This window comes from Homo sapiens, chromosome 15 (assembly GCF_000001405.40).
Source record: "Homo sapiens chromosome 15, GRCh38.p14 Primary Assembly".
NCBI classification, from domain to species: Eukaryota; Metazoa; Chordata; class Mammalia; order Primates; family Hominidae; genus Homo; species Homo sapiens.
In genome coordinates this window covers 98,877,489-98,904,008 of record NC_000015.10, presented here as the reverse complement: position 1 = coordinate 98,904,008, position 26,520 = coordinate 98,877,489, and the positions used below count along the sequence as shown (strand labels likewise).

General features: G+C 43.5%; 1 protein-coding gene across 9 annotated transcripts in view, besides 3 other annotated features; it reads right to left on the bottom strand.

The window, feature by feature from the left end:
* Nucleotides 1-26,520, bottom strand: part of IGF1R (insulin like growth factor 1 receptor) — a 315,992-nt gene that overhangs the window by 60,522 nt on the left and 228,950 nt on the right. For 7 of the 9 annotated variants that reach the window (NM_000875.5, XM_047432443.1, NM_001291858.2 and 4 more), the window contains exons 3-5: nt 12,372-12,684; nt 7,104-7,252; nt 4,388-4,532 (exon numbers count right to left, since the gene is read on the bottom strand). In NM_000875.5, the coding sequence (NP_000866.1) occupies nt 4,388-4,532; nt 7,104-7,252; nt 12,372-12,684 (607 nt within the window). Of the gene's footprint in view, nt 1-3,245; nt 4,070-4,387; nt 4,533-7,103; nt 7,253-12,371; nt 12,685-13,540 lie in introns of those variants that run through there. The other 2 variants (XM_011521516.3, XM_011521517.3) reach the window with 2 other exon arrangements.
* Nucleotides 6,503-7,702: an enhancer, noted in NCBI's record as "P300/CBP strongly-dependent group 1 enhancer chr15:99439536-99440735 (GRCh37/hg19 assembly coordinates)". NCBI's record gives its function as "activates an origin of replication core promoter dependent on BRD2, BRD4, P300/CBP, MED14 and CDK7 cofactors, with strong dependence on P300/CBP, by STARR-seq in HCT116 cells {active_cell/tissue: HCT116}" and the evidence as "EXISTENCE:reporter gene assay evidence [ECO:0000049][PMID:35650434]".
* Nucleotides 18,989-19,581: an enhancer, noted in NCBI's record as "H3K27ac-H3K4me1 hESC enhancer chr15:99427657-99428249 (GRCh37/hg19 assembly coordinates)". NCBI's record gives its function as "activates a minimal SCP1, AML or CMV promoter by ChIP-STARR-seq in primed H9 embryonic stem cells {active_cell/tissue: H9 hESC(primed)}" and the evidence as "EXISTENCE:reporter gene assay evidence [ECO:0000049][PMID:30033119]".
* Nucleotides 19,582-20,174: an enhancer, noted in NCBI's record as "H3K4me1 hESC enhancer chr15:99427064-99427656 (GRCh37/hg19 assembly coordinates)". NCBI's record gives its function as "activates a minimal SCP1, AML or CMV promoter by ChIP-STARR-seq in primed H9 embryonic stem cells {active_cell/tissue: H9 hESC(primed)}" and the evidence as "EXISTENCE:reporter gene assay evidence [ECO:0000049][PMID:30033119]".

Genomic DNA, 26,520 nt, shown 5'->3' with positions numbered 1-26,520 from the left:
GTCCAACCATCACCACTACTCAGTTCCAGAACACTTCCATCATCCAAGAGTTCCCTCATTCCCATTGGTGGTCAATCTCCACCTCTTCCTTGCAGCCATCCCTGGTCTGCTTTCTGTCTCTATAGTTTTGCCTTTTCTGCAAATTACATACGAATGAGTCATATAATATGTAGTCTTTTGTGTCTGGATTTTTTCTTTTCACTTAGCCTAATGTTTTAGAGGTTCACCCATGTTGTAACACGTGTCATACTTCACGTCTTTTTATTGTTGAGTAGTCAGTTGTCCTTTGTGCCACATTTCATTTATCCATTTATCTTTCTATCCACTCATCTGCTGATGAACATCTGAATGGTTTCCAGTGGGTCTTTCTTTTGGGCTGGGGGTCGGGGGAATCCCGGGAGGCTATTATGAGTAATACTGCTACCAGCATTCATACACAAGTCTTGTGTGGGCATGTTTTCATTTCTCTTGGGTGGATCCCGGAATTGCTAGGTCACAGGGTTGGTGTATATTTTCCAAAAGTCCCAGGGAAATGTGAAAAAGCGGCCATGTTTCAGCCTGACCTTTGAGCTCCAAGAAGGTATTACAAAGCACTGCGTGTTGCACAGTCGAGTGGTAGGAACAAAAGCATAGAAATGCCTATCCGCGAATTTCAATTCTTTTAACTCACCACCCTCCATCTACTTTTTCCTTCTTCTTTTCAAGGCAACAATCCTTGGTAGCACCAAATAATGTGAAACTTTAACTCCTTATTTATCTGATGCCATCAGGAAACAAGGTTGTCCAAACAAGGGGATTTTCCAGATAGTGAAAATATTCTCTTACTCAAGAGCTTAAAAATTAGCTATTTTATAAAAATTGTGTACATGTGGATTACAAAACCTGTTTCCTTTGTAAACAGCAGAGCGGTCTTGATTTTCTTAATGTCTAAGGTCATTACTCTAGAAATACACCCTATGGTGTCCTTGAGGAAACCATGGCTATGGCTTTTGTAACTGGGTTACAAAATCAGCTCACGCCGAGTGCGATATAAAAGTCAACAGGCTCTGAGTGAGGAATAAGAGCTCTACTCTATGTAAAATGCTTGAATTTTCTGTTCTGGATGGCTCAGGAGACTTTTTGAGGGGGATCTCAGTGACATTTTGGAAAGCCAAGGTTGTCAGAGTTGAAGGATCTCTGTACCTTGAATTGTTCTGTTCTCCATCAAAAACAAAAGGCTACAGAACAGAACTTTCATCCTATTGAACCAAATGGAAACATTTATGTTATCACTGGCTATAAAAGAAGTTCAAGAAGGCCGGGCGTGGTGGCTCAAGCCTGTAATCCCAGCACATTGGGAGGCTGAGGCGGGCGGATCACAAGGTCAGGAGTTTGAGACCAGCCTGAACAACACGGTGAAAGTCCGTCTCTACTAAAAGCAAAAATAAGCCGGGCGTGGTGGTGCGTGCCAGTAATCCCAGCTATTCAGGAGGCTGAGGCAGGAGAATCGCTTGAACCCAGGAGGCAGAGGGTGCAGTGAGCCGAGACAGCGCCACTACACTCCAGCCTGGGCGACACAGCAAGATTCCATCTCAAAAAAAAAAAAAAAAAAAAGTTCAAGAAAATAGTGTGACACGTGTTAACAACATGGGTGAACCTCTAAAACATTAGGCAGCAGTGTGAGGGGAAAATATTTAGGAAAAAAAACCGTCAAAGTGCTTTGTGATATGCACATGGGAAGAAATGAAGGGATAAAGCAGTGGTTTCCAATCTTTGCTGCCTGCTGAAGTGCCTAGGGATCTTTAGACAAGCACTGATTCCTGGATCCTAACCCCAAACGCTCCTATTGAATTGGGGTGGGGGTGCAACTTGGACATCAGGATTTCTCAACTCCACCCCTGCCCCCACCCCCAATGATTCCATAATGTGTAGCAAAGTTTGAGAAACACTGGGATGAAAGCTATCTTGGCTTAAACCAAAAGCACACCGAAATAAAAATTTCAGACAGCTCTGCTAACACTCCTCTATTCAAAAGCCTTGAATACGTTCCATGGTCTTCCTAAATTATAACCCTTTATACCTGCGTGCAAAACATCTTACATAACTCTAGTACCACCCACCTCTCCAGTGTTAGTTGCCCAACAGGCCCCAGGATGCCCCAACTCGTTGCCTTTGCTCCTGCCACCCTACCTTGAATTGCCTTTCTTCACTTCAATCCTCTGCTTTCCTCAAGTTTTTCCCGAAAGCCTTCAAGGCCCATCTCAAATGCCACCTCTTGTCAGAAGCCTGTCTGATCTTCTCAGGTATCTGGCTCTTCTCCATGCCTAGGGCACATTTCTTTCTTTCCCTTGTATCACTGTGCGAGTTCTGCTTTGCACTGCTGATGTTTATCTGACTATCGTATCCTGTCCTTCTCTTTCTCGCTCTGACTCTTCCCTTCTTGCAGAAGTGAGGGCAGCTAGTGAAGGGGCCAGACCTAACTCTGTCCCTGAGTCTAAGGAGAAATGAACAGCTGAGGTGTTGCTAGCGGTCTCAACACCTGAAGCAAACAGAGCTCTTGGGGAGCTCATCATCGTGAGGATGGGCTATACCTTTGTGGTCATGGGCCAGGAAGACAGGGTGAGAGAAAACTTCCCATCGGGAGGTAAAAGATTCTTAAGAGCCCAAGCTCAAGAAAGAGCCTCTTAGAAGCTGCACGCAGGAATGAAAGGCTGGAGCCAGCATCCTTGGAGCTGCAGGACTACTGGGGAGCAGCAGCAGCAGGGAAAACCCAAGGCCCACTTGCCCTCCCCTGCATCTAAAATGGTAAGAGCAGGCCAGGGGCCCGGGCTTACCTGGAAAGCCTCCCAAACACCTGAGCACGCAACCTTAAAAAGATTTTGCTGATGCTTCAGGTTTTATGCAAGTTTCAGATAATGAGAAAGACATCATAAATATTCTTGCAAATAAAAATCAGGCTTTAATTTCTAACTACATTTAAGTGCACAATACTTAGTTAACACTCCATGAAAAGGTAACCACATAATAATTCCTAATGGAAATTAATTAAACTCTCCTCTCAGCATTCACCTCTATGTCTATCATTTGCTTAGTCTAGAAACAAAAAAGTATATCATTAAGCAACAAGAAAATTTGACAGCTACTGCTCTGCTGAAGAAGAAATGCTCACAGACACCCGAGATTCCAGAAACACAAACCTACTTAGAAAAAAAAAAAGCGGAGAAAAATTCATTTTAAAATTTAATACAAGAAACAATAATCATCACCTTAAACTGGTAGGGCCTCAGCTTGCCAGGTAAGTGACTGAGGAGTCTGGGGCTGGGTGCAGCGGCAGCCTCCTTCGATTTGCAATGAGAAAGAAGTTTTTTAAGGATTGGTGTTCCCCAGTGGGGAGGACACTGTGCTTTTCAAGGATGGAATGAAGAGCTGCCCGCTCTCGTTAGCTCTATCAGATGATGGAATTTTAAGAATTTAAGACTGACCAAGAGTTAGTCTGAGAAAAACAGGGAGGCTGTAAAGAAACCCTTATGCAGTAACTTTATCCAGTTGGGGCAGATAAATCAGCAAAGACAACCTTTCCCATGACCTTCTCGCCTCTTCTTTTCCTAAATTATTTTCCCAAATTCTCTTTGGAAGGAATTCACTCTTTAATTGATAACTCCTTTTATTTTGAAGCATTCACTTAAAGCCTGGCAAGAGTCGTATTTAAAAGGGAGAGTTTAAAGAGAAAAGTACATATGCAAAGGTACACACAGGCTGACGGCTGGAAAGCAATTGTGCATGCAATAAGCACCGGCTTTTATCCTCCAGTGAAAAGCCCACGGTTATTTTAAAACCCCTATCACAAAGCAGGCCTGTGCCAAGGCAAAAACTCTATCAATAGTGCAAATCCTGTAAACTAATCAATAAAAACCATCTCGTGAATCCGGGTTTCTTTCTAACAAAACGAACCGCCCATGCTCCTCCCGTGCTCTCACTTCCAATATCTTAAAAGATGGAGCAGTTGTGCGTAGTAGAGTACAGCATCCTGAGGCAGATGAGGGTCGCGCGAACAATGATTTCACAGGGAGGTGAGCACTCCAGACCAACTGCTGTCATTCTTGGCAGAAAAGCCCTAAGCGCACCCCCGTCTGCCGTCTCACTGGTCACAGTCAGACACGCAACCCTTGACTGATGAGGCAAAATCCAGTAAGGGTGATAACATCTCTGTTTTCCAAACAGCAACCTCCTAAGAATGGAGAACCATGACTCCACCCAAGACCTACTCGAGCAGCACAGGCAATACTGCGGCTTCCTCCTTTCTTCTCTTTAACAAGGCAGGGAGGGCTCTTACCTCAGCAACACAGTTTCATAAGCACGCTGCTTATTTTGTAATAGAACGTCAGCTCATGAAATTTGGGGCACTTACCCTTCTAGCTGCTCCTCTCCTAGGATGAGGCGAAGGTTTTTTAGGAAGGACAAGGAGACCAAGGCATGAGAATGGCGGATCTTCACGTAGCCCGTCACCACCTCGATGAGCCCCATGAAGTTCTCCAGCTCTGAAGCAATGTTATCTACATTGAAAGGGGATTGTGTCACTGTGTGCTCACTTGGTGTAAGGGTGACATACTTGGATTCTTACAAACACAAGTGAGAACAATTCAACGGCAGGTGCCCCCTGAGATGCTCCCAGCACAGGACTGGCTGCTCCCTGACAAAAACACACTTCCCTGGCTTGACTCTCAACAACGACTCCTGGAACGAGGCCTCCCAGGCAGGGGAAGCCAAGTTTCTAGGAGGCTGGGGGGTACTGCAGCTCCCAAGCTGATTAACAAAATATAAAATCATAAATACCAGACTGCCAATTAGCTAAGGCTGACGAATGTAGGGAACGTCTTTTAATATGCTCTGTCAACAGACAGTATGGCCCCCACAGTACAAGGGCATGACTAAATCAACATTTTCTCCATCTCATTAGGAACTGCCTTTGCTGCCTTTCTAATTCCTAAGATACAGGGATCTATATTTAAAGGTTCCATTTTACTAAGACTTGAAGAAAATACACCAAAATGTTAACAATGGCTATCTATGAGGGATTTTTAAAAATTCATTTCTGCATTGCTAAATTTTCTATAGTATTTATGTATTGCTTTTATAACTAGAAAATAGTTGGAAAAATAGTTGAAAATAGTTGGAAAAATAGTTGCTAATAAAGATGTACAAACATAATATGCAAACAACAGGTTTCATCTTGTTTAGTCTACCTTTTTCTCATAGTAAACAAAAACCAATTTTCAGTTCAACTAATGCTAAAATTATAATAAACACTATAATGAACTGGGTGTGGTCCAATTAATGGGATTTTACTGTGCGTAATTTATGAAGACATATTTAATAAAATGCTCTATTTTGCTTTGAGTTGATACAAATAAAATAATAAGGGTACTAAAGGATAAAGCCCTACATCTAATTTAATTTAATAGCTTTCCAAGAAAAATTAAAGGGAAGTTCAAGTTGGAAAGATGAGAGGTTGCGTGCAGTTGATGTTTTAAGGAAGAGATCCTGAATTTTAAACGTGGGGCAGGAAGCATGCCTTAGTCAAGATCAGGAAATTTCCCCTCTAATGAGATGTCCCATCATCCTAAATCCAATCTATTTCCTGCAATGGACATAAACCAGAAGACACATTTCATCATCATGCATCAATATGTACCAATCCCTTCATAAATGATACTTCTCCATGGGTTTAATTCACAGATTAAATTTTTGTCTTCAGGACAGGAAGATAAAAAAGTTTAGGCACTCAAAAGGTATGTTCTAGGGATAAGCAAATTAAAAGTAAATGAGGAAATGCAGACACAGCCAAAAGAATTAAACATCAGAAGTACCATGAGAGTGGGCAAGCCCTAGTTGTGGGGAACAGAGTTATCTCCATCACGGAGGGCTGGGAGTGGGTGTATTGTGAACAGCAACAAGGGATATCAACTAATTCAGAAGAACTAAGCACAAACTTGTTTCTGTCCTTTCTAAACCTTAAGAATACAGTCTACTCATTTAACAAATATTAAGGAAAACACATTCTCAAAATACATTATTTTTCCTCTCAAACTGTAAAAAAAAAAAAAAATTCTTCATAAAAGGATTCCCCCCCCAAAATTCCTTTCAACTTCAAAGCCATTTTACGATATTTATTCTAGCTTATAAAACTATCAGTACCTTGACCAAGTGGTCCCAGTGGCAGAGAATTTAAGGCACCATTACTAGAAGCCCTTGGCAATGAAAAATCAGAAGTGAAAAGATTTTTAAAATTATCCAGACATGGTAGTGTGTGCCTGTGGTCCCAGCAACGTGGGAGGCTGAGCAGAAGGATTGTTTGAGACTAGGAGTTCCAGGTTACAGTGAGCTATGATTATGCCATTGCACTCCAGCCTGGGTGATACAGTGAGACCCTGTCTCAAAACAAAACCAAAAAACAAACACACAAAAAACCAAAGAAGTGAAGAGATCATAGGCTAAGTCAGTGGGAAATCCTTTGCACAAATCCAACTCAGAAGCAACTTACCAGGAATGCCATCTATTGCAAATAAAGGTCATTGTACAGGGGTGAGACCGAAACTTTATGTACACAATGACACACACTTGTATCCTTTTGTCTCTCACAAGTAAATTTGGAAATCTAGCATTCTTTTGGACTTCATAAAATTTTAACGTGATATCACTAAACTTCCCTTTGCTCAGTCTTCTCAGTAAATTCAAGTAACCAAAACTCTTTAGACTTGAAAGATGTGTGGATTTGGCTACAGCTGGAGTCTGCTGAGTCACACGTCTGATCCAATGGTCTCTTCTGGGGTTTGTATGTGTCAGGGCTTGCCTCTCCTATGCAAGATGTGACTAACAAAAAGATGAGCGATGACCCTCTTTACAGGAATAAATGACGTGCCAATGGCTAAAAGACAGATTGCCTTTCAATCTGTTCTTTATCTTTCAGGGAAACTCAAAGAAGAGACGTCATGCGTGAGGCTTACACACCATGTTGTTTATCTAAGCCCATATTTTAGTGGTGACTCAGGGACGGGAGCATGAAAAGCATCAACAAAAGAAAACCATGAGATCTAGCCGTTTTTCCAGGGGGATGGAATACTTACTCCCCCGTCGGATGTTAATGAGCAAATTGCCCTTGAAGATGGTGCATCCTTGGAGCATCTGAGCAGAAGTAACAGAATCAATGGTCTTTGTTTTCTTTTCTTCCTCACAGACCTTCGGGCAAGGACCTTCACAAGGGATGCAGTACATGCTGTTGAAGAAGAAAAAAAAAATCAAAAACACACATAATTGAGTCTGTCTTCTTGCATTAAAAAAACCATAAGGATATGCTTTTCATTGTTATTACAGCATGCATTAGAAAAAGCAACTGTTTTGAAGTGTTCATGTGGTCACATGGTATCTCACCCCCAAGCCCACCCAAGATAAGCCACTCACATTGCAAGCAAAAGGAGAAACAGCCTACAAAGGAAGAGCGTGTTGCTTGCTTCCAGACAAAATACATGCTGCATCCTCAAGGCATTTGTGTGTCATAGGCTGTTGACTGGTGAGCCAGCTGGTTCCATGTGGGAGAGACAGTGCTGCAGAAAGGAAGCTTGGGGGGTTCTGGAGGAAAACAGAGCTGCTTTCTGATACTGTGACCCTGGCCTGTGTACCTGGAGGAGTCGCTAGGAGAGAAGGCAGGGACAGCAAAGGGAGTGCAGTGTCTCTGCCTAACAGTAGTCTAGCTCCTGCAGTCAGTGTTTTGGCAAAGCCCAGTGAGGGATACCAAAAGGCATGTGGTATAGCACAGATCCATTATTTTCTTGCTAAAGCACAACCGAAATTATTTCTTGACGGTGTTTTGCAGAAACTTGTAAATTGATCCAAATGTTGCTTTTGCTGCATACACAATAAAAGCAAGGGGTTTCCATTACTTTGTAATGAGCTCTTGTTTCAAATACTATCCTGAACATGCCACGAACCACCAAGAGTCAGGGACAAGTAAGACTGGCACTTTTCCTGCTTACCTACCATTATTTAGGAAATAGCAGACAAAATGCTAGCCCAGCAGCTGAACCTTTGGGATCTATAGTTATATATAGAACAAGGGTCAGAAAGTTGGACTGATTTCCAAACAAGACAAATAATACGAACTTATGCGATGTGTGTGTAATAGGATGGTAAGCTGGGGAGCCATTATATGTACATTATTGTTCTTAAATCATCTCTCAAATTTCGTGAAGTAAAAACATTCAAGAAAAACAATGTAAATTATAGCTCTTTTTATTAATGTCCCTTCCCCCTACCCATGAAGGTTATTTTGTATCTAAGACAAAGATGCAGGGTTCTGTTTTGTTTAAAAGCTAACAGGTAAACAAAACTTCTCTGGTATTTTCCTATTGTGTGTTTGGGAGAATGGGGGTCATGGCTTCCCCAAGGGTCCTACAGGAACTGGACCCACCCACAGATGGGGAGAGTCCTTCCTCTACCATTGCATTCAACATTCTCATTTCCAGCCTGGGTAGAGGCTTCCTTCAGCACTTTTTTACTTGGCCTTCTGTTGTTTCTAATTTATCTACATACCCTATAAACTTTCCATTTAAAAAAAAAAATTTTATTTTAAAATAATTATAGAGTCACAAAAAGCTGCAAAGATTTACGAGAAAGTTACAGAGAGATCCCACATAGCCTTCATCCAACTTCCTCCAATGTTTACTACATCTTACATGATATAAGTATCAAACCTGGAAATTAACTCTGTGTGTGTGTGTGTGTGTGTGTGTGTGTGTGTGTGTGTGTGTGTGGTGCTGTGTCACTGATCACTTGTGTAGATTTGTGTAATCACAACTACAATCAAGATACAGAACTGTTCCGTCACCACCAAGCTCTCCCTAATGCCACCTGTTCATACTCACTGCCCTGCCCAACCTAGTCCCCAATGTCCCTAACACCTGGCAACCACTAATCTGTTTTCCATGTCTACAATCTGTCTTTTTTTTTTTTTTTGAGACAGGGTCTCACTCTGTCGCCCAGGCTACAGTGCAGCGGCATGATCTCAGCTCACTGCAACCTCCACCTCCTGGGTTCAAGTGATTCTCCTGCCTCAGCCTCCTGAGTAGCTGGAAATACAGGCACCCATCACCAGGCCCGGCTAATTTTTGTATTTTTAGTAGAGATGGGGTTTCACCATGTTGGCCTCCTGACCTCAAGCAATCTGCCTGCCTCAGCCTCCCAAGGTGCTGAGATAGGTATGAGCCACTGTGACTGGCCAAACTTTGTAATTTTAGTAGAGACACGGTTTCACCATGTTGGCCAGGCTGGTCTCAAACTCTTGACCTCAGGTGATCCACCCACCTCAGCCTCCCAAATTGCTGGGATCACAGGCGTGAGCCGCCGTGCCTGGCTATAATCTGTCATTTTGAGGATGTTGCATAAATGGAATTATACAGTATGTGATCTTTTGAGGTTGGCTTTTTCACAGAGCATAATGTCCTTGAGATCCATCCAAGTAGTGTACTTCAATGGTTTGTTCCTTTTTATTGCTGAGTAATAATATTCCATGGTGTGGATGTCCCACAGTTTAACTAACTATCTATCATAGGACATCTGAGTAATTTCCAATTTGGGGTTATTACAAATAAAGCTGCTATGGACGATGGTGTACATATTTTTGTGTTGACATAAATTTCATTTCTCTGTGATAAATATCCAGGGTTACAACTGCTGGGTTGTACCATAAGTGTATGTTTAGTTTCTCTCCATCTTTCACTCAAATAGAAAAATCTGAAGCTGGGTACAGTGGCTCACATCTGTAATCCCAGCACTTTGGGAGGCTGAGGCAGGAGGATCACTTGAGCCCAGGAGTTTGAGGCTGCAGTGAGCTATGATTGTGCCACTGCACTCCAGCCTGGGTGACACAGCCAGAGTCTATCAAAGAGAAAAGAAAAGAAAAAAAAAATGGAACCAATCATCTTTGGTAAAAAGTCTAGGAGTCATCAAGCACTTAAAAAATGTTTTTCTAAGGAAGTGTTTTGATAACATGTTTATAGATTAAGCTTCCTCAAATCCACTATGGTATAGAGAAGGTATAAACAAGATGAAAAAATTAAATATTTCAAAGTAATTGTTAAATAAGCCTCAAAGGCTGAGAGAAGGGAATTTATTATTCTTTATGGTGTTTTATTTTTAAACAAAAAGGTAGATGTATAGTTTTTAACGGACTGTAAGAATGAATAGGGGAAATAATGGCTCAATTCTCTGAAGAGTGCACTAGAGCGGAAGAAACAACACTGTCAAATGGACAGCATTCCCACTTTGCCACAACTCTGGTGGCTGCAGAACGACTGAAGGCCTCCAAATGTCATTAAGAAAATGTATTCACAAAACAAAGACGATAGCACACTGAGTTCATGGACAAGCTACCACTCCCCTAACCCCACCCCAAGGAGGAAGGTGACGTCTGAATAGTGTCTGAGCCTCAACTTGGTTCCAGGCACTGCCCCTGGGCCCGAGGTGTGCACCAGTAAAAGCCCTTTTACACTCGAAGGCTGCCAACAAAATGTGAGTACAATGTGGTAGACTGATTTTGGATGTAATATGTATCCTCTACAGCTCATTGAAGTCCTTGGCCTATTTATCATTTTAAAGTATTCAGAGTAATTTTCTTCTTGTTGTTAGTATGCTAATGGTTATACAGATTATAAGAGGGAGAAAGTTGCTCTACATCTAATACTATAAAAGAATGTATTATCTTTGATTTGAAGGTAAGCCTACAGTAGAAGCTGCGTCTCCAAATAATACACTAGAAAAAGAATCCCCTTTATAAACACTTCCTCAATGTACTTCATAAGCTGCAGCAAAAATTATATTTAAAATTAACACCTACTTTTCTAACGATATTTTTATATTTGTAGAATAGATTTTGACAGACTCAGAAAGACAGGCCCCCTGGTGCTAATCATGAAGGAGGCATTTAGTCCACTAAAACAGAACTTTCCTAAAAGTTCTTTTTTTTGAGACAGGGTCTCTGTTGCCTGTGCTGGAGTGCAGTGAGGCGATTTTGGCTTATTTCGGCCTTGACCTCAAGGGCTCAGGTGATCCTCCCACTTGCAACTCCCAAGGAGCTGAGACTACAGGTGTGTGCCACCAAGCCAAACTAATTTTTTTTTAATCTTTTGTACAGATGGGGTTTGCATGTTGCCCAGGCTGGTCTTGAACCCATGGCCTCAAGGGATCTGCCCACCTTGGCCTCCCAAAGTGTTGGGATTACAGGCGTGAGCCCCTAAAAGTTCTTTACTCTGCTCCAGGAAAGGGAACAGCAACCCCAAATCTCCAATCTTCTTTTGCTTTCAAAGTTATAGTTATCACATTTTTAAACAATGCTAACATCTTATTTTCAAAAGCATAAACCAATGACAAATTTATAGAAGTCCAGTTGACATGTACAAAAGGGCATATGGCATTTGTTATAACGAACTTCTCTTTTTTTTTTTTTTTTTTGGAGACAGAGTGAGACTCTGTCTCCCAGGATGGAATGAAGTAGTGTGATCTTGGCTCACTGCAACCTCTGCCTCCCAGGTTCAAGCAATTCTCCTGCCTCGGAGTAGCTAGGACTACAGGTGCTAATTTTTGTATTTTTAGTAGAGACAGGGTTTCATCACGTTGGCCAGGCTGGTCTCAAACTCTGACCTCAAGTGATCCAAGCACCTCAGCCTCCCAAAGTATTGGGATTACAGGTGTGAGCCACATGCCTGGCCATAAGGAACTTCTTTGCTTCCCAAGTGAAGTCTCAAAGTTCAGGAAGGAAAATGAAGGACATGATGAGCACTGAGGGAGGGTCAAGGTAGAGGGGGATGAGAGGAAGGAAGTGCTGATGGAAAAATGTCCCTTATTTTAAGCTACTGCCTACTCTGAGCTGCTGCTAGCTCTTGCACTAAGATGTTTAGGTCCGCTTGCTGGTCTCAAGGATGGTGGTGGGGGCTTAGCATGTCTTTTCTTTTGCACTTCCAAAGCCTCACCTGGCTAGCAGCACCCAGACTAGGAAAATCCAAAACTACAGTTCCCTGTCTCTTAGATGGCAGCTTGGCAAGTACCCAGAGAGACTATGAACTCTGGGTATCGAAACCAGCAAGCAAGTACTTAATTTCAAATGGCCAGGCAGTATGCACTTAAAATATAAAACAAACTGGTGAGGGGGGCGGTAAGCCATGCCAATTGTTCCTAGAATCTCACCAAACATTTAAGGTAAGCCAGCCCTCTCAAAATGACCCACCTCAGTGAACTTCCTGAGGGCTGCACCCGGATGAAACAACCGACAGAGTCTACCTTTGTGTGCTAGGGTGGCGGGTGAGGTGGGGCGGGTAGTGACCACACGTGTGGCCGCGACTGACCTCTGGCTGCCGTTGCGGATGAAGCCCGAGGGGCACTCCTGCATGCACTCGCCGTCGTGGATCACAAACCCCTCGGAGTCGCTGCTCTCGGCGCTGAGGATGTTGGCGCAGAAGTCACGGTCCACACAGCGCCAGCCCTCAAACCTGTAGGTGTTGGGCGGGCAGGCAGGCACACAGACACCGGCATAGTAGTAGTGGCGGCAAGCTACACAGGCCGTGTCGTTGTCAGGCGCGCTGCAGCTGCCCAGGCACTCGGGGTGGCAGCACTCATTGTTCTCGGTGCACGCCCGCTTCCCACACGTGCTTGGGCACACTGTGGAGAGAGAGGAGAGACGGAGATGAGACCGGGCAGGGGAGGCACCGCCTTCTCTGGGCCTGGCCAGCATCCTTCTGGGTCATTCACTGCTACCACCAGCACCAGATCACTCATTGAGGAGACAATGCAAAAACACACTACGAAATCCTCACCCCCACCACTGTCCTTTCATCCACTTAGACCTGCAGAGAGTCGATATCTTTAAAGTTCAGTCTCTCCTAGGAACTCCTTGTTTGGTCTGGGACAAACCATTAGCTTCTGTGATCTTGATCCTCTCTCTTCCCATCTGTAAAATGAGGGGGATAATACCCACATTTGAGGGTTGCCTCAGGCGTGGGTCAGCCAGTGGAAGCCCTACAGGAACTCTATGGTTTATCAGTAATTTAAAAGGCATTGTGCTCTGCTCACTTTCCATTTCAAATATGTTCCTTACTGAAAACTCTTTTAAAGCCTTAGTGTGCAGAAATGCTTACTTTGAAAATGATTAAACTACACTATAGTAAAGATGATACCATTCAAAATGACTTCAGGGAAATTTCTGCTGCCTTAGATATCAAAGGTTTTACCTCAAATAAGCCAAAGCTGTTAGATGACAAAGAAGTCACCATGTCTGAGGGTCATTCTTAAGTCCAAGAACATAGGTGTGTTACAGGAAAGGAGTCCTGATCCAGACCCCAAGAGAGGGTTCTTAGATCTTACGCAAGAATAATTCAGGGTGAGTCTGTAAACTGAAAGCAAGCTGATTAGGAAAGTAAAGGAACAGAAGAATGGCTACTCCATACACAGAGCAGCCTGGAAGGCTGCTGGTTGCCCATTTTTATGACACGCTAAACAAGGGGTGGATTATTCATACCTCTCCATTTTAGACCATATAGGGTAACTTCCTGATGTTGCTATGACATGTAAACACTCATGGCGCTGGTGGGAGTGCAGCAGTGAGGACGATCACAGGTCACTCTCGTTACCATCTTGGTTTTGGTGGGTTTGCGCCGGCTTCTTTAACTGCATCTGCTAGATCAGCAAGGTCTTTATGACCTGTATTTTGTGCTGACCTTTAACCTCATCCTGTGACTCAGAATGTCTTAACTGTCTGGGAATTCGGCCTCATTTTACCTAGCTCCTATTCAAGATGCAGTTGCTCTGGTTTCAATGCCTCTGACAAGTGGGTGAGTAGCATCTCCGAGCCCACAGAACCATAGGATATTAGAAGCCACCTCCGCTAAGCCTCTTCGTGTGCTAAAGTGAAATCAGTATCTAATAACCACAGATCCATGGTGTACATCCCAAATGCATGAGCTGGCATTTATTTCCATAACAATGCTGTCGTGATCACACTCTGTGGGCTGTCAGCCTTACTTGTAAATTAAGTCTAAATCAACAAAATATGAAATCTGGTTTGCATTATACATTTCCTACTTTATCCTCAAATTGGAAAACAATACAAAATTATTTAAATGTGTATCTTTTTGACTCTGACATGCAATATTGAGTGGAGATTCTAGAATTTGTTTTTTCTTGTAATAAAAATACATGATTAAAAAAACCAGAGATCACAAACAAGTAAAGAGAATATAGAGAACAAGTAAGTCCACCTACCCACAAGTGACCCCTTTATTAATATCTTCAAGCAGACCTTCCCTGGTCCTTTCTTATGTATGTGCATGGACATATAAATACAAGTATCTACAAAAAAGACAAGCCATTCTGAAAGCTTTCTTTTGGCATAAAAGATTGTGAATTCCACAAACATTTAACAGCAGTATTACACTCCATTGTGGAATGTATCATAAGTTACACCTGTCCCCAATTATAAGATATTTTCTTTACTTTTTATTATTGCAATCGGCAAAGCAATCTTCATGAGCACCCTTAACATTTCATTAGGATCAATTTCCAGAATTCATCTTGTTGGGTTAAACTGTCCTCTAGAAAGTTTGTACCGGTTTACACACCCACTAGTTGCCTCCAAGAGTTCCTATTTCGCTGCAAATAGGTGAACTTGAAAACAGATATCAGAACTTGGACATGCAAATGAATAGCGTCACCTCTGAAGAAAACTGTCATGATACTGTCAAGCTTGAAATACTTTTGCAACTTTCTCTTTTGAAGTCATCCTTTGACAGAAACAACAGGTTGCCTTCCATTATTTATTCTTCTTGTCATTTTCAGTAATTTTTAGTTGATAATATGGCCATCCAGTTACAGACTACATCTCCCAGCCTTCCTTGTAGCTAGAGGTGGCCATATGACTTAAGTTCTGGCCAGTGAGATATAAACAAACGTTGTGACTGGAACTTCCTGGAAGACTCCTGAGAACAAAGAGGGCATGGCCATCCTCCTCCTTGCTGGCTGGAATGCAGTAGTAATGCTTGGAGCTCAAGTACCAACCTTGGACCACAAGGCGAAACATCAAGAATGGTGAAGCGAGATAAAAGGAACTTAGTCCCTTATGAGAGTGGGGCCGCTAGGCTAACCCTGGACTGCTTACTCCAGACTTCTTTAGATGTGAGAGACATACACTTTTATCTTGTTTCAATGACTGCTATTCATATATGCAACTGAACTAATCCCAACTGAGACATGTCTTCAGAGCTATCTCTAAAGTGAAGAAGAAACCCATTCCTGTCCATTTATGCCATTTTGTTGATAAGGATTGGCTCTCAATGACTCCAGGCTATTTCCAAAAACTAATCTAACCCACAAGTAATAAGGAGTTACCCATCTCTGATCACACCAAAAAAGTATGCATTTTATGAGTTCCTAAAATGTTGGGATATATATGCTGTCTACCAAGGTGACTTTCTTGAAGAGGATAACACAAATTTGAATGTACAAACCTAGCATATTTTCTGTAAACACACACACACACACACACACACACACTCTCTCTCTCTCTCATCAAACCCCCACTTGAAGACAGTTAATAATTTCAAATATATCCATTACAGAGGTCACCTCAAGGTCCAAGATCTAAAGAAACACTGCAATTGGGTATTCCAATTTCATGTTTTTAAACTGGTCACAACAGAATATAATTCCATCTATTCTTCATTTATTCATTTAGCAGCTATTTAATGTGTGCTGCACCTGTGTGCCAGACAGATGCACGCAGGATCAGCGACAATCCTGTCCCCAGGGAACGGACGACACAGCAAGTACGGGAGTGAGTGGAGCTGCCTGGTGTTTCCTGGGCTTCTGGGTGCCGAGGACGGTTTTGTGGAGTTGAAAGTGGAAAGATGAGCAAGGGAGGAATAAAGAACATCACATGTAAATGCTTGTAAAAGCAACGAGGTCACTGTGGGTGCAAGGGCTTGGGTGTTACTGAAGAAGGCCAGGGACCACTGCCCGGGGAGGCACTGAAGGCCTGTCCCAGAGGGTTTAGCCCAACTGTGGATAATACGAAACCATGGAAAGTTTTAGGCAAGGGAACAACATGCCCAGACCTTCGTATCAGAAAGGTTACCTGGCCGCAGTGCAAGGGACATGATGATCAGAGAGGGTAGGGCTGAAAGAAGAGAGGGACCAGGCTGGAAGAGAGCAGACTCCCAGCCTATGTTATTCCCACAAAATTCACGTCGTATAATGGATCTGTGAGGTTCAGTAAAACTGGTTACAGAAACAACGCTCACATTCCCGCTCGTCAGGCGTGTGCCAGCAGTATTAAGCATACACCCATCTTGGAGCACCGAGGCTGCTCTTCAGACATCACCATCACCATGCTTTGTCATTAGAGGAAGGAAACTCTGAGAATCTTACCATCATCATCAGACACTAACTGGGGGGACCAACATCTACTTGCAGAATCCCTTTCCCTGACAATTTAAAGAAAACATTATATAAAATGATGTGTAATAGACATTAAGATCAAGTAGCTATTAATGCAGTAGTAATAAGAACGTTGAAAAGAACAGAAAAATGTCCCTCTGCACTTGCTTGCAAATAGTTATACCTAAATATCAATGCCGGGATTTTCCAGGATGAGAAAGAAAAGAAAAAAAAAAACTGACAAAGTACCTGTAGATATATTCCGCATTTCCCACACATCTGAGCAGTAGTCCCCCGAAACTTCCCAAAGGAGTGAGTGAAATTATACCATCCAGTCAGTCAGTCCGTGCCACAACCGATACACAGGCTGGGGAAGTCAGGTGTGTTTCGGTGGTGGGAGCTATTTCTGAAGGAACTTCAGTAAAACCAACCAGGAAAAATCATTTTCTTTATATACAGAGCAACTTCTTAAAGGGATCACAAATCAAGGGGTTCCTTCGTGTTAAATGATGCAAACTATGCATAAGCACATGCTCTATGCGGGGGCAGCAATGGAATGTGATGGGGAGAAGAGGGGAAGGTCAAAAGGAAAGTTGCTCTGTTTGTTAGAGGACGAACTGCATAAATAAGCATTGCTGCAGAGACGGACACCATGCTCCCCTCACTGAAGCACAACCTGAAAGGATTCTAGGAGGCAAGCAAGAGAACGTGAGCAAGTGTGGGATTAGAGAGTCCTGGAGCCAGCCCCAGAGCCCGCTGTAAATTTTGTCTCATCTCAATGTATATAAATATTATTAGTGTTCAGGACCATTAAGGGATTTCTTGAAAAGCCCCGGGCAGTGTGTCTCGCCAGCAGATGGATGGCTGTTCCATGCGAGCGCCAAAACTGAGAATTTCACCTAGTACTACCAAATTTCCAATTACGGCGCTATGGGGGAAAGGAAGGGACCCTCTTCTCTGGCTTCCATGAATAAACACACTGAGTGCGATTAAAGGCATTTCAGCTTTTAAAAATAGGAGGAAAATAGAAGCTGCTATAAACTAACAAATATACAGAGAAAAAAGCAAACTGATTTTGCCCATGAGATCCTTCTATTCCTTGGAATTCTTACAGTGACCAACAATAAAAACAAAGGCCCATCTAAACTGTTGGAAAAGCTAACATGTCCCACATCCACCACTAAAAGGATTGGTTCAGGTTTGCAATCACATAAAAACGAGGCACTGCACTTAAAAGCTCCTTCTCTTCATTTTTTTTCCTTGGGGGGAGAGGAAAAAGAGTCACACACATCAGCCTTTAACTCTCTCCCTCTCCAGAGTCCTCGAATGTATCAAATTATTTCTAGAGTTTTTAAAAAACCATTTGTTTTTGTTCTTGCCAGAGTTTTTTTTTTAAATAATCATTAGTGCAGAGAAACCATTTTTAAAAGCATACCATAGGCTGGGCGTGGTGGCTCACGCCTGTGATCCCAGCACTTTGGGAGGCCGAGGCGGGCAGATCAACTGAGGTCAGGAGTTCAAGACCAGCCTGCCCAACATGGCGAAACCCCATCTCTTACTAAAAATACAAAAATTAGCCAGGTGTGGTGGCACGTGCCTGTGATCCCAGCTACTTGGGAGGCTGAGGCAGGAGAATCGTTTGAACCCAGGAGGCGGAGGTTGCAGTGAGCCAAGATTGCACCATTTTACTCCAGCCTGAGGGACAAGAACAAAACTCTATCTCCAAAAAAAAAAAAAAAATAGGAGACTCAACCTCTTCACAAGGAACAAAACATGAAAGAGGGGCCACCTGGCCATACAATATTTCATAATGCAAACAATTTTATCCCCAATCATTTCTAAAGGAAAGAACTTATTCTGCAGATGTTCAAATAAGGTAAAGCTTCTGAATCAAAATACGGAAGAGTTTAGGGCCATCTCAGCTGTTTCTGGGTTGCCCTAAGGTACACACCACTGTTCCATATAAACGCAGGGAGGCTTTCCCTAGCAGGCATGCATCCTCGTGCAGGAGGATTAACCGCTCCTAACTTCACGAAAGTGAGCTTCAACCTCCAAAGTGCATCAGAGAGACACATGGTCCAAAGAGATTTTATGATTCTCTTGCCTTGCCAGGAGAGGAACTGACCATGAGACAACACGGGGAGGAGAAGGAAAGGGAGAGGGGTGAGGGCAAGCGAGGGGCTCTAGGTGAACTGACATGCAGCGTCCTGCCCCAGGCCGAACAGAAGTCCACCCAGGACGTGGGCATTCTTCTCCAGAAAGGACTTAGCTCAGCTAAGCAAATGAGAAAGGCTTCTTTTGATTTTAGCAGTCAGGCCTCAGGTAGGTTACACCCTATAGACGTGGCAGGTTCGGGGACTCAGCCCAGCCCTCCCAGGGCTCACAGCCTGAGGACAAGCAGTGAGAATATGAGCCAGTAGCAAGCAAAGGGTAGCTTAGGGCTGCCTGCCAGGGGAAGGGACTTCCAGGCCAAAGCTGGACAAGTGAGTAGGAGCTAGCAGGTGCATAGGGATGCTGGCAGAGCCAACAGAGAGTGCGGGCCAAGAGAAGCAAAGGTAACAAAGACAACCTCAGCATGACTGAAGGATGGAAGCACTGGAGACAGAGGGGAGGGGAGACTGGGAGGAAAGATGGTGTGCCCTGAGGTAGGGAGAGCCTGGAACAGCCTTTTAATCCAGCAATAGGAGTTTGGACTACTCTTAAGAGGAAAAATACTATTTTAAGCAGGAGGCACATGATCAGATGTGCATTCTAGCCTCAGTAGCCCAGATCAAGAGGACAGCAGTGCAGATGAGGAAAAGCAGGGTAGATTCAAGATATGTCCAGGACCATCTGGAAGGGTACAGAATTTCTTTTTTTTTTTTTTTTTTTTTGAGACGGAGTGTCACTCTGTCACCAGGCTGGAGTGCAGTGGCTCAATCTCAGCTCACTGCAAGCTCCAGCTTTGCCTTCCGGATTCTTGCCATTCTCCTGTAGCTGGGACTACAGGCGCCCGCCACCATGCCCAGCTAATTTTTTGTATTTTTAGCAGAGACAGGGTTTCACCGTGTTACCCAGGATGGTCTCAATCTCCTGACCTCGTGATCCTCCTGCCTTGGCCTCCCAAAGTGCTGGGATTACAGGTGTGAGCCACCAGGCCTGGCCGGGTACAGAACTTTTCTTTTGAGGGGTACAGAAAGATCAGCTCAGTCTGGGACGTGTTGTTTTTGTGTACACATCCAAACGGAAATGCCTGGCGTGCAGTTTGTGTGGATGCAATCAGGCGTGATCTGAGCTGGAAACATCCTGGGGTGTGGTCAGCAGATGGATGGAGAAGGGACTGTGGGTTGGGTGTGGGGGAGGTCTGAGGATGCCCGGGGGACCCAGGAGAGATCACAGCACACACCGTGGCCAAGGCTGCCACCGTTCACAGGGGCCTAGCAGCCCCCCAGTGGAGTGTTCACTCCTTTAGAATACCCCCATTCCTTTAAAAGAAATGTGCTCGAGGGGATTACAGTATATTCATCTGTGAATTCCCAGACCCATGTTTCACCCTTCTCTGTCCCCAAGTCTAGGTAACAATAATAATGTATTTGTGGAATTATCTGGAGCCTCATGAACATGGTACCAAGGGCCTAAAGGCAAAGAGTTTTCAACAAAGGGTTGGTTTTTGCTGCCTTCTGTCTGGTCTTCAAACTAACCAGAGTGACAATAAAAAGAGCCCCTCCCTCAGGGGCTGCCTAGGAAGCCTGTGTGCCCTGCTGCTTTTCCAGGGAGGCAGAGGCAGCCCGGCGAACACTTTCGACAGAAAGGGTATCTTTATTTTCAGCACCCATGAATGACTGCAGAGGGACTCAGGGAACCCACGGCTGGCACAGGAGGAGGACAGCCTAGCCGGGGCAGGCGCTGAGTCCACTCAGCTGACAGGTGTGCCACCATGCTCTCGCCTCGTAAAATAATCTTCAATCAATCCTCGCTTCTGTCCTCTCACACACACTACTCCCCATCCCTATCACCCCAGGGAAGAAGAGAGTGACGGTGAGCACAGGCTTCTCAGGCTGAGAGAGCCACCGTATTACAGCTTGGCTATTAGTTTGAAGTTCTTTAAACAAGTCTGCTAGGTTGGAAAAGGAAGCTTAGTTGAAAATGCTTAGACCCACGAGGTAAAACCAAATGCTGCACATACACACAGTAAAGACATATTTTCTCAAAATGAAGACAAGAGGATTCTGTCAAGCTTCTGGTCATCCTAAGGAATGGTTGGAAAAAAACCCCACTGAGCCACTGCCTAGAGATTCCAGGAAGAGTTTAAAACAACTTCCAAACAGGTTTCTGCCTGGAGCTGCAGCCATTATGTGGAATCAGCTACGCACGGCAAAAGAAAGTTCAAGTGGCAAGCGCTGTGTCTTAAACGTTCACAAAAGAAAATCACATCGGCAACATTTCTCAATGCCAAAAAGAAACAACCTCTTGTTCTAGAGAAAATATCCCACTATAGTAGTTAGACCCAGAAGAAACACTTTATGGTCAGAATGGAAGATACCACAGTTTGTCTGTCTGAACCTAAATAAAAAGGTTTTCAAGAGAACCAGCACTTTGGGGGTGCACCCAGGAGCACACAGAAAGGTACACCTGAGCAGAATTCTCAGTGTGCACAGCAGGGCTGGTTAGTCAGGGGGCTGGACCACACCTTTCTGAACCTGTTAAGATAGCAGGCCTGAAAGCTCTCATTTTCTCCCAAGTCCAGTGTGTACAAGGAGATCTTGCAGTCTTTGAAAGGGGTTGAGACTCCATTTTGAGTCTGCTGTCTTCCTAACAGGAAGCCTAGACAAGGGTGAACTTCCTAATGTACTAGGGTATACAGAAGGGGCAAGGAGTTACATATTTTCACCCCTCATCACTGTCCCTATTCACTCTCTTCTTCTACATTCCCATCCCTCTGAGGTGACACTGGGTTGCAGGACTGCTTTATGGCATGCAAAGGCAGGCAAGAAGCTCCTAGGGCCATGACATCCACCTGGCCCAGTTTACAAGCAACAAGCACTTATGCAGTCCTTTCTCCCTTTCATCCAATCACAGATTCTTAGATCTGAAGAGAAATTTACAGTCATCCATTGCATACTGATCTGAAACACTTCTTTACAAAAACCTGGGTGACTCTTCAAACAAAGTCCAAGGGAGCTCATTACTTTCCAGGAAGTGCTACTCCACTGCCAGATGGCACCCATCTTGACGAACTTCCTCCATACACATATTAAAAATGCGCTTTCCTGTACTGGACCCTCCCCAGCCCTCATGCAGGTGTCTGACACGCAGGGGAAGTGAGTGCTGCTTTGTACAGGTCAGACTTTCAAACAATATTCCAAGATGACGGTCACGGCTTCCCTCTGAACATCTTACTCAGTCACCACTCACGCAACACGCCCTAGACCTATTCTAACAGTACAGAGGCAGTCTGAACAGTGTAGAAATGCTCTTTTTTGCCCAAAGCAGCTTGCTTGCCGTTTCTCTGTGTGATCTTAAGAATAACTATCATCAAACATAGCTGGCTCACTCTGAGCTTCTAGTCACCTGAAGTTCCAGGTCTTCTTGTTCACAAAAACTATTCATATCTCTACTATATAAATGTAATTTATACTGGAGATTCTGAATACAGGACTTTGTATTAATATACAGTTAATATTCACTAAATATATTCCATGCGCCTTACAACACATTAAGCATCTCACATATATTTCTGCATTTAATTTAATCCCCCTAATGATCACAAGGGGGCAGTATCATTATCCTCATTTGTACATGACCAAATGTTCACACCAAGAGCACACAGCTGTTACACTGCAAACCTGGGCTTGGAACCCAGATCCTCCTGACTGTTGATTGCAGCCTCTTCCCCCACCGTGTTTATGGTGGTATGTGGTTGCAGCATGTTTCTATTGTCTAAAAGGAAGGGCCGGCCAGGCACAGTGGCTCACGCCTGTAATCCCAGCACTTTGGAAGGCCGAGACGGGTGGATCACCTGAGGTCAAGAGTTCAAGACCAGCCTGGTCAACATGGTGAAAGCCGATCTCTACTAAAAATACAAAAATTAGCTAGGTGTGGTGGTGGGCACACCTGTAGTCCTAGCTACTCGGGAGGCCGAGGCAGGAGAATTGCTTGAACCCGGGAGGCGGAGGTTGCAGTGAGCTGAGATCGCGCCACTGCGCTCCAGCCTGGGTGACAGAGTGAGACTCCATCTCAAAAATAAATAAATAAATGAATGAATATTTTAAAAATAATAAAAGGAAGGGGCTATGGGAGTTCATCTCATGCTACTTTTCCATTTAAGCATGTATCCATCAGGAAGAAATACAGCACCCTTTTCTCCGCCACACTAAGAGGTGTATCACTTAGACTGAAGGACAAAACCCAGGCAACATGACACTCTGGAAAAGGGTCAGGCATCCAGGTGATGCTAAGGAGATAACACGTACCCACTAAGGCCTTCTTTATTTATTGAGTTCCAGCAAATGGAACTTTTTTTTTTCTCTGCAGAAGTGTGCAAGCAGTTTCCAGCCTTGCTGAGCTACATGAATTGATGAAGAAAATACACTCTCATTATCTAATCTCATTACTAAGACTTGTTTGGGTGGAACTGGCTCTGTGGGTCACTGAGTCTTTCTGGGTCTTGTTGTTCTGTCTCCTGATAGCACAGTCACTTACATATGGTTATATTTGCCCTACAGAACATGCTGCAGTAACTGCCTCTGATGAGAGGAGCTTCTGCTTCAGTTGTTGCAATTGAGCAGTGACCCTTGCTGATAAACCTGTGGATTTTGGTATCTGTGGGAGGTCCCAGAACAAATCCCCCATGGGCATCAAGGGAAAACTGTCTATGGTACCACTATGATGTCTTATAGGCTATGTCAAGCTTGTGAAATTAAAGAACAAAGTCTGTTGTGGAGAAGAAGAAAAAACTTAGTTCTATGCCATCCCCTTGGTGGTGTATATAATCAAGGCTCACAGAAATATCCAAGTTCCAAGTAGATTCTCACTGTCTGGGACAGAAGGCATGCCACAAGGTTTGGCTGCTGAATGTATCTGTGAACACTTAATTAATGAGCAAAAGAAATAATTGCCTGACAGTGCCCACTGGATCACTTAAGTCTCCGGAACCAACACGCAACGCTGGGCAGAGTATTGAGAAAAAAGAAAAACAAGCAAACACCACAAAAAGGGCAAGCAAGAAACCAGAAGGAGGAAAGTTATAAATAGCATCATTATTAAATAGAGGTTTTGAGAGCTAATTAGTAAGGGTAAAGAGAGAGAAGTCATCAATGCAAAGAATTAACACAAAGGCTGAGAAGGAGGCTCAGGAATCGTCCTCTAGCTGGGCTGTTGGGATGGTATAGGTTATAGGATGCTTCCCCTTCCTTCACACATTTTTTACAATAGCTTTATTGAGATCTAATTCACATACCCTATAACTCACCCATTTAGAGTGTACAATTTGGTAGCTTTTAGTATATTTAGAGAGTTGTACAAACACCACCACAATTAATCTTAACAATATTTTCATCACCCCAAAGAAAAACCCAATACCCGTTAGCCATGCTTCCCACGCCCCTTTCCCAGGCAATCACTATTACACTTTTCGTCGCTATAGATTTGCCTATTCTGGATATTTTACATGAATGGAATCAGACAATAGGTAGTGTCTTTTGTGACTGGCTTCTTTTACTTAGCATAGGTAATGTTTTCAATATTTATCTCTGGTGTGGCATATATCAGTACTTCATTCCTTTTTATTTTCATTCATAAATTTTGACTTTCATGATTCATATCACGGGAAGATTAGCCCTGTAACCTTTCTATGAATGTGCAGTGATAAAATCACAGGTACACTGGTCACAGGTTGGTGGAGAGAGGCCCATCTGGACCTCAGAATCTATCTGCATTCTAGATTCATTCTAAAGGAAAAACGATTTGGTAACGCTATCAAATCAACTAAATTGTGCCATTCTTTGATACCAGGAAAAAAGAGTTAAGAGACATCCAATCTGTCAGGGAATGTTCACCCCCGTGTGCCTCCCCTCTGCTCCGAGTCAGCAGGACACGTGCTCTAATGATGGAGAATAAAACAGTGGAAGGTGCCTCATCTTTACAGAAATGCCTGGCAGAGGAACTGGATGCTATAGCACAGAAAGCCTCCTTAGATGGCAGCAAGGGAAAAAAGCAAAGGAATAAAGTCCAATATTAAGAAGGGGCTGGGGGCGGAATTTGGCCTTCTACTTCTTTTACTATCACTGTATTTTTATAAAATATTCTTTTAAAAAATATTCTAGTGTACTCTGAAATCATCCCCGAATTCTTTCTTTTAAACTCATATTCAAAGCCTACTTATACATTTGGGAAAGAGAGATAAGTTATAATGGTAACGACAAAAAATCAAGGACAAAGGCAATGAAGAACACTGTGAAATCCAGGCTGGACCGGCCCTGCTTCGGCGTTCTGGGGCGAGGTCATCATGAGCCGGGTTTCTTCACGCATGGACACACAGTGTCGCTCTCACAACCCACATCCCCCCTATTTTTTTTTTCTTTGAGTCAGAGTCTTGCTCTGGCGCCCAGGCTAGAGTGCAATGGCACAATTTCGGCTCACTGCAACCTCCACCTCCCGGGTTCAAGCAATTCTCCTGCCTCAGCTTCCCGAGTAGCTGGGATTATAGGCGCCCACCACCACGCCCAGCTAATTTTTTGTATTTTTAGTAGAGACGGGGTTGGTTTCACCGTGTTAGCCAGGATGGTCTCGCTCTCCTGACCTTGTGATCCACCTGACTTGGCCTCCCAAGGTGCTGGGATTATAGGTCTGAGCCACCGTGCCTGGCCTTTTTTTTGTTGTTGTTTTTTTTTTTTTTTTTTTTTTTTTTTTTTTTGAGTCTTTCACAAATAAGAAGAGAGAAATCACTGCAGAATGGGTGACTATTTTGCAACTCTTCCCCAGTACTGTGAGCAACAGGCATGTGTACGTAAAGACACCCATCACTTAATACTGCCTGTCACAGATGCTTAAATGGACAGGGTGGAAAAAAATATTCTTTTCACACACTTAAAAGTTACTTCAAGTTATTTTAAATTTGGAACTGTTTGTATATTCCTTATAAGTTTATAAAACTCACACTGTCCCTCCATGACTAACTAAAGTGGAATTGAGAGAGTATTCTATATTTGTAACTTGACTGGTTGTTCATGCTTACAGCCCTATTTCCATTCTCTGTTACTGTACACAGAGTTATGTGAGGTATTGTGGGCTCCTAAATGTTGCTGATTTCCTAACAAGGCAGGCCTGTGTCCCGTAGGGACAAACTGGGGACTGTTTTGACCAAGTGGAGGCCAAGCTCAGAGGGAGAGGCCTCCAGCTTTGTCGTTTTGGCTGCATCTCCTAAAACTAGTGTTAGAGCCCACTTCTGGGCAATTACATGGCTTACTGGTGTTGACCAAGGTATCAATGCTACCGATACACTGCCTATTACACATACCTTAGACGCTCAATGCCACACAGCTGTGGCTGCAAATGTCACTTCTGCCTATTTTGGTAAAAACTGTTAGTCCAAAAGGTGCAATGTTTCAACAACCTACGCAAAAGCCCCTGCCACACACATAATCATTTATGTCAACATAACTTAAACGACTAAACTGAAGACAGCCACTTGTAGGGAAACTACTATTTAGAGAAGAGTATGCAATGTTTCTGATAAAATTTTGTCAACAACAGCAGAACTGTTTACCAGGAAACTGTGATAAATGTACGAGGTACCTAGGGAGGTAGATTTTTTTGCACTACCTGTGGAACTTAGATTTTTACCTGCACACCTGTACAGGCAAATCACAGTGAAGCCTCTTCACAGGTGCTGAGTAAATTGAACAAGAACAGCTCCTCCAACGCTACCTCCTTAGGAGGATACACACCTATTCAGTGACCTCACAATTTTGCACAATCACTTGTGAAAGTCTCTTTTTAAAAATGCTTCTAGAGGCCACAGCACATTCTTTGACAGAACCTCAAGAGTAGCAAATTTTTTGGGGAAAAAAAAAAAAAAAAAAAAAAAAG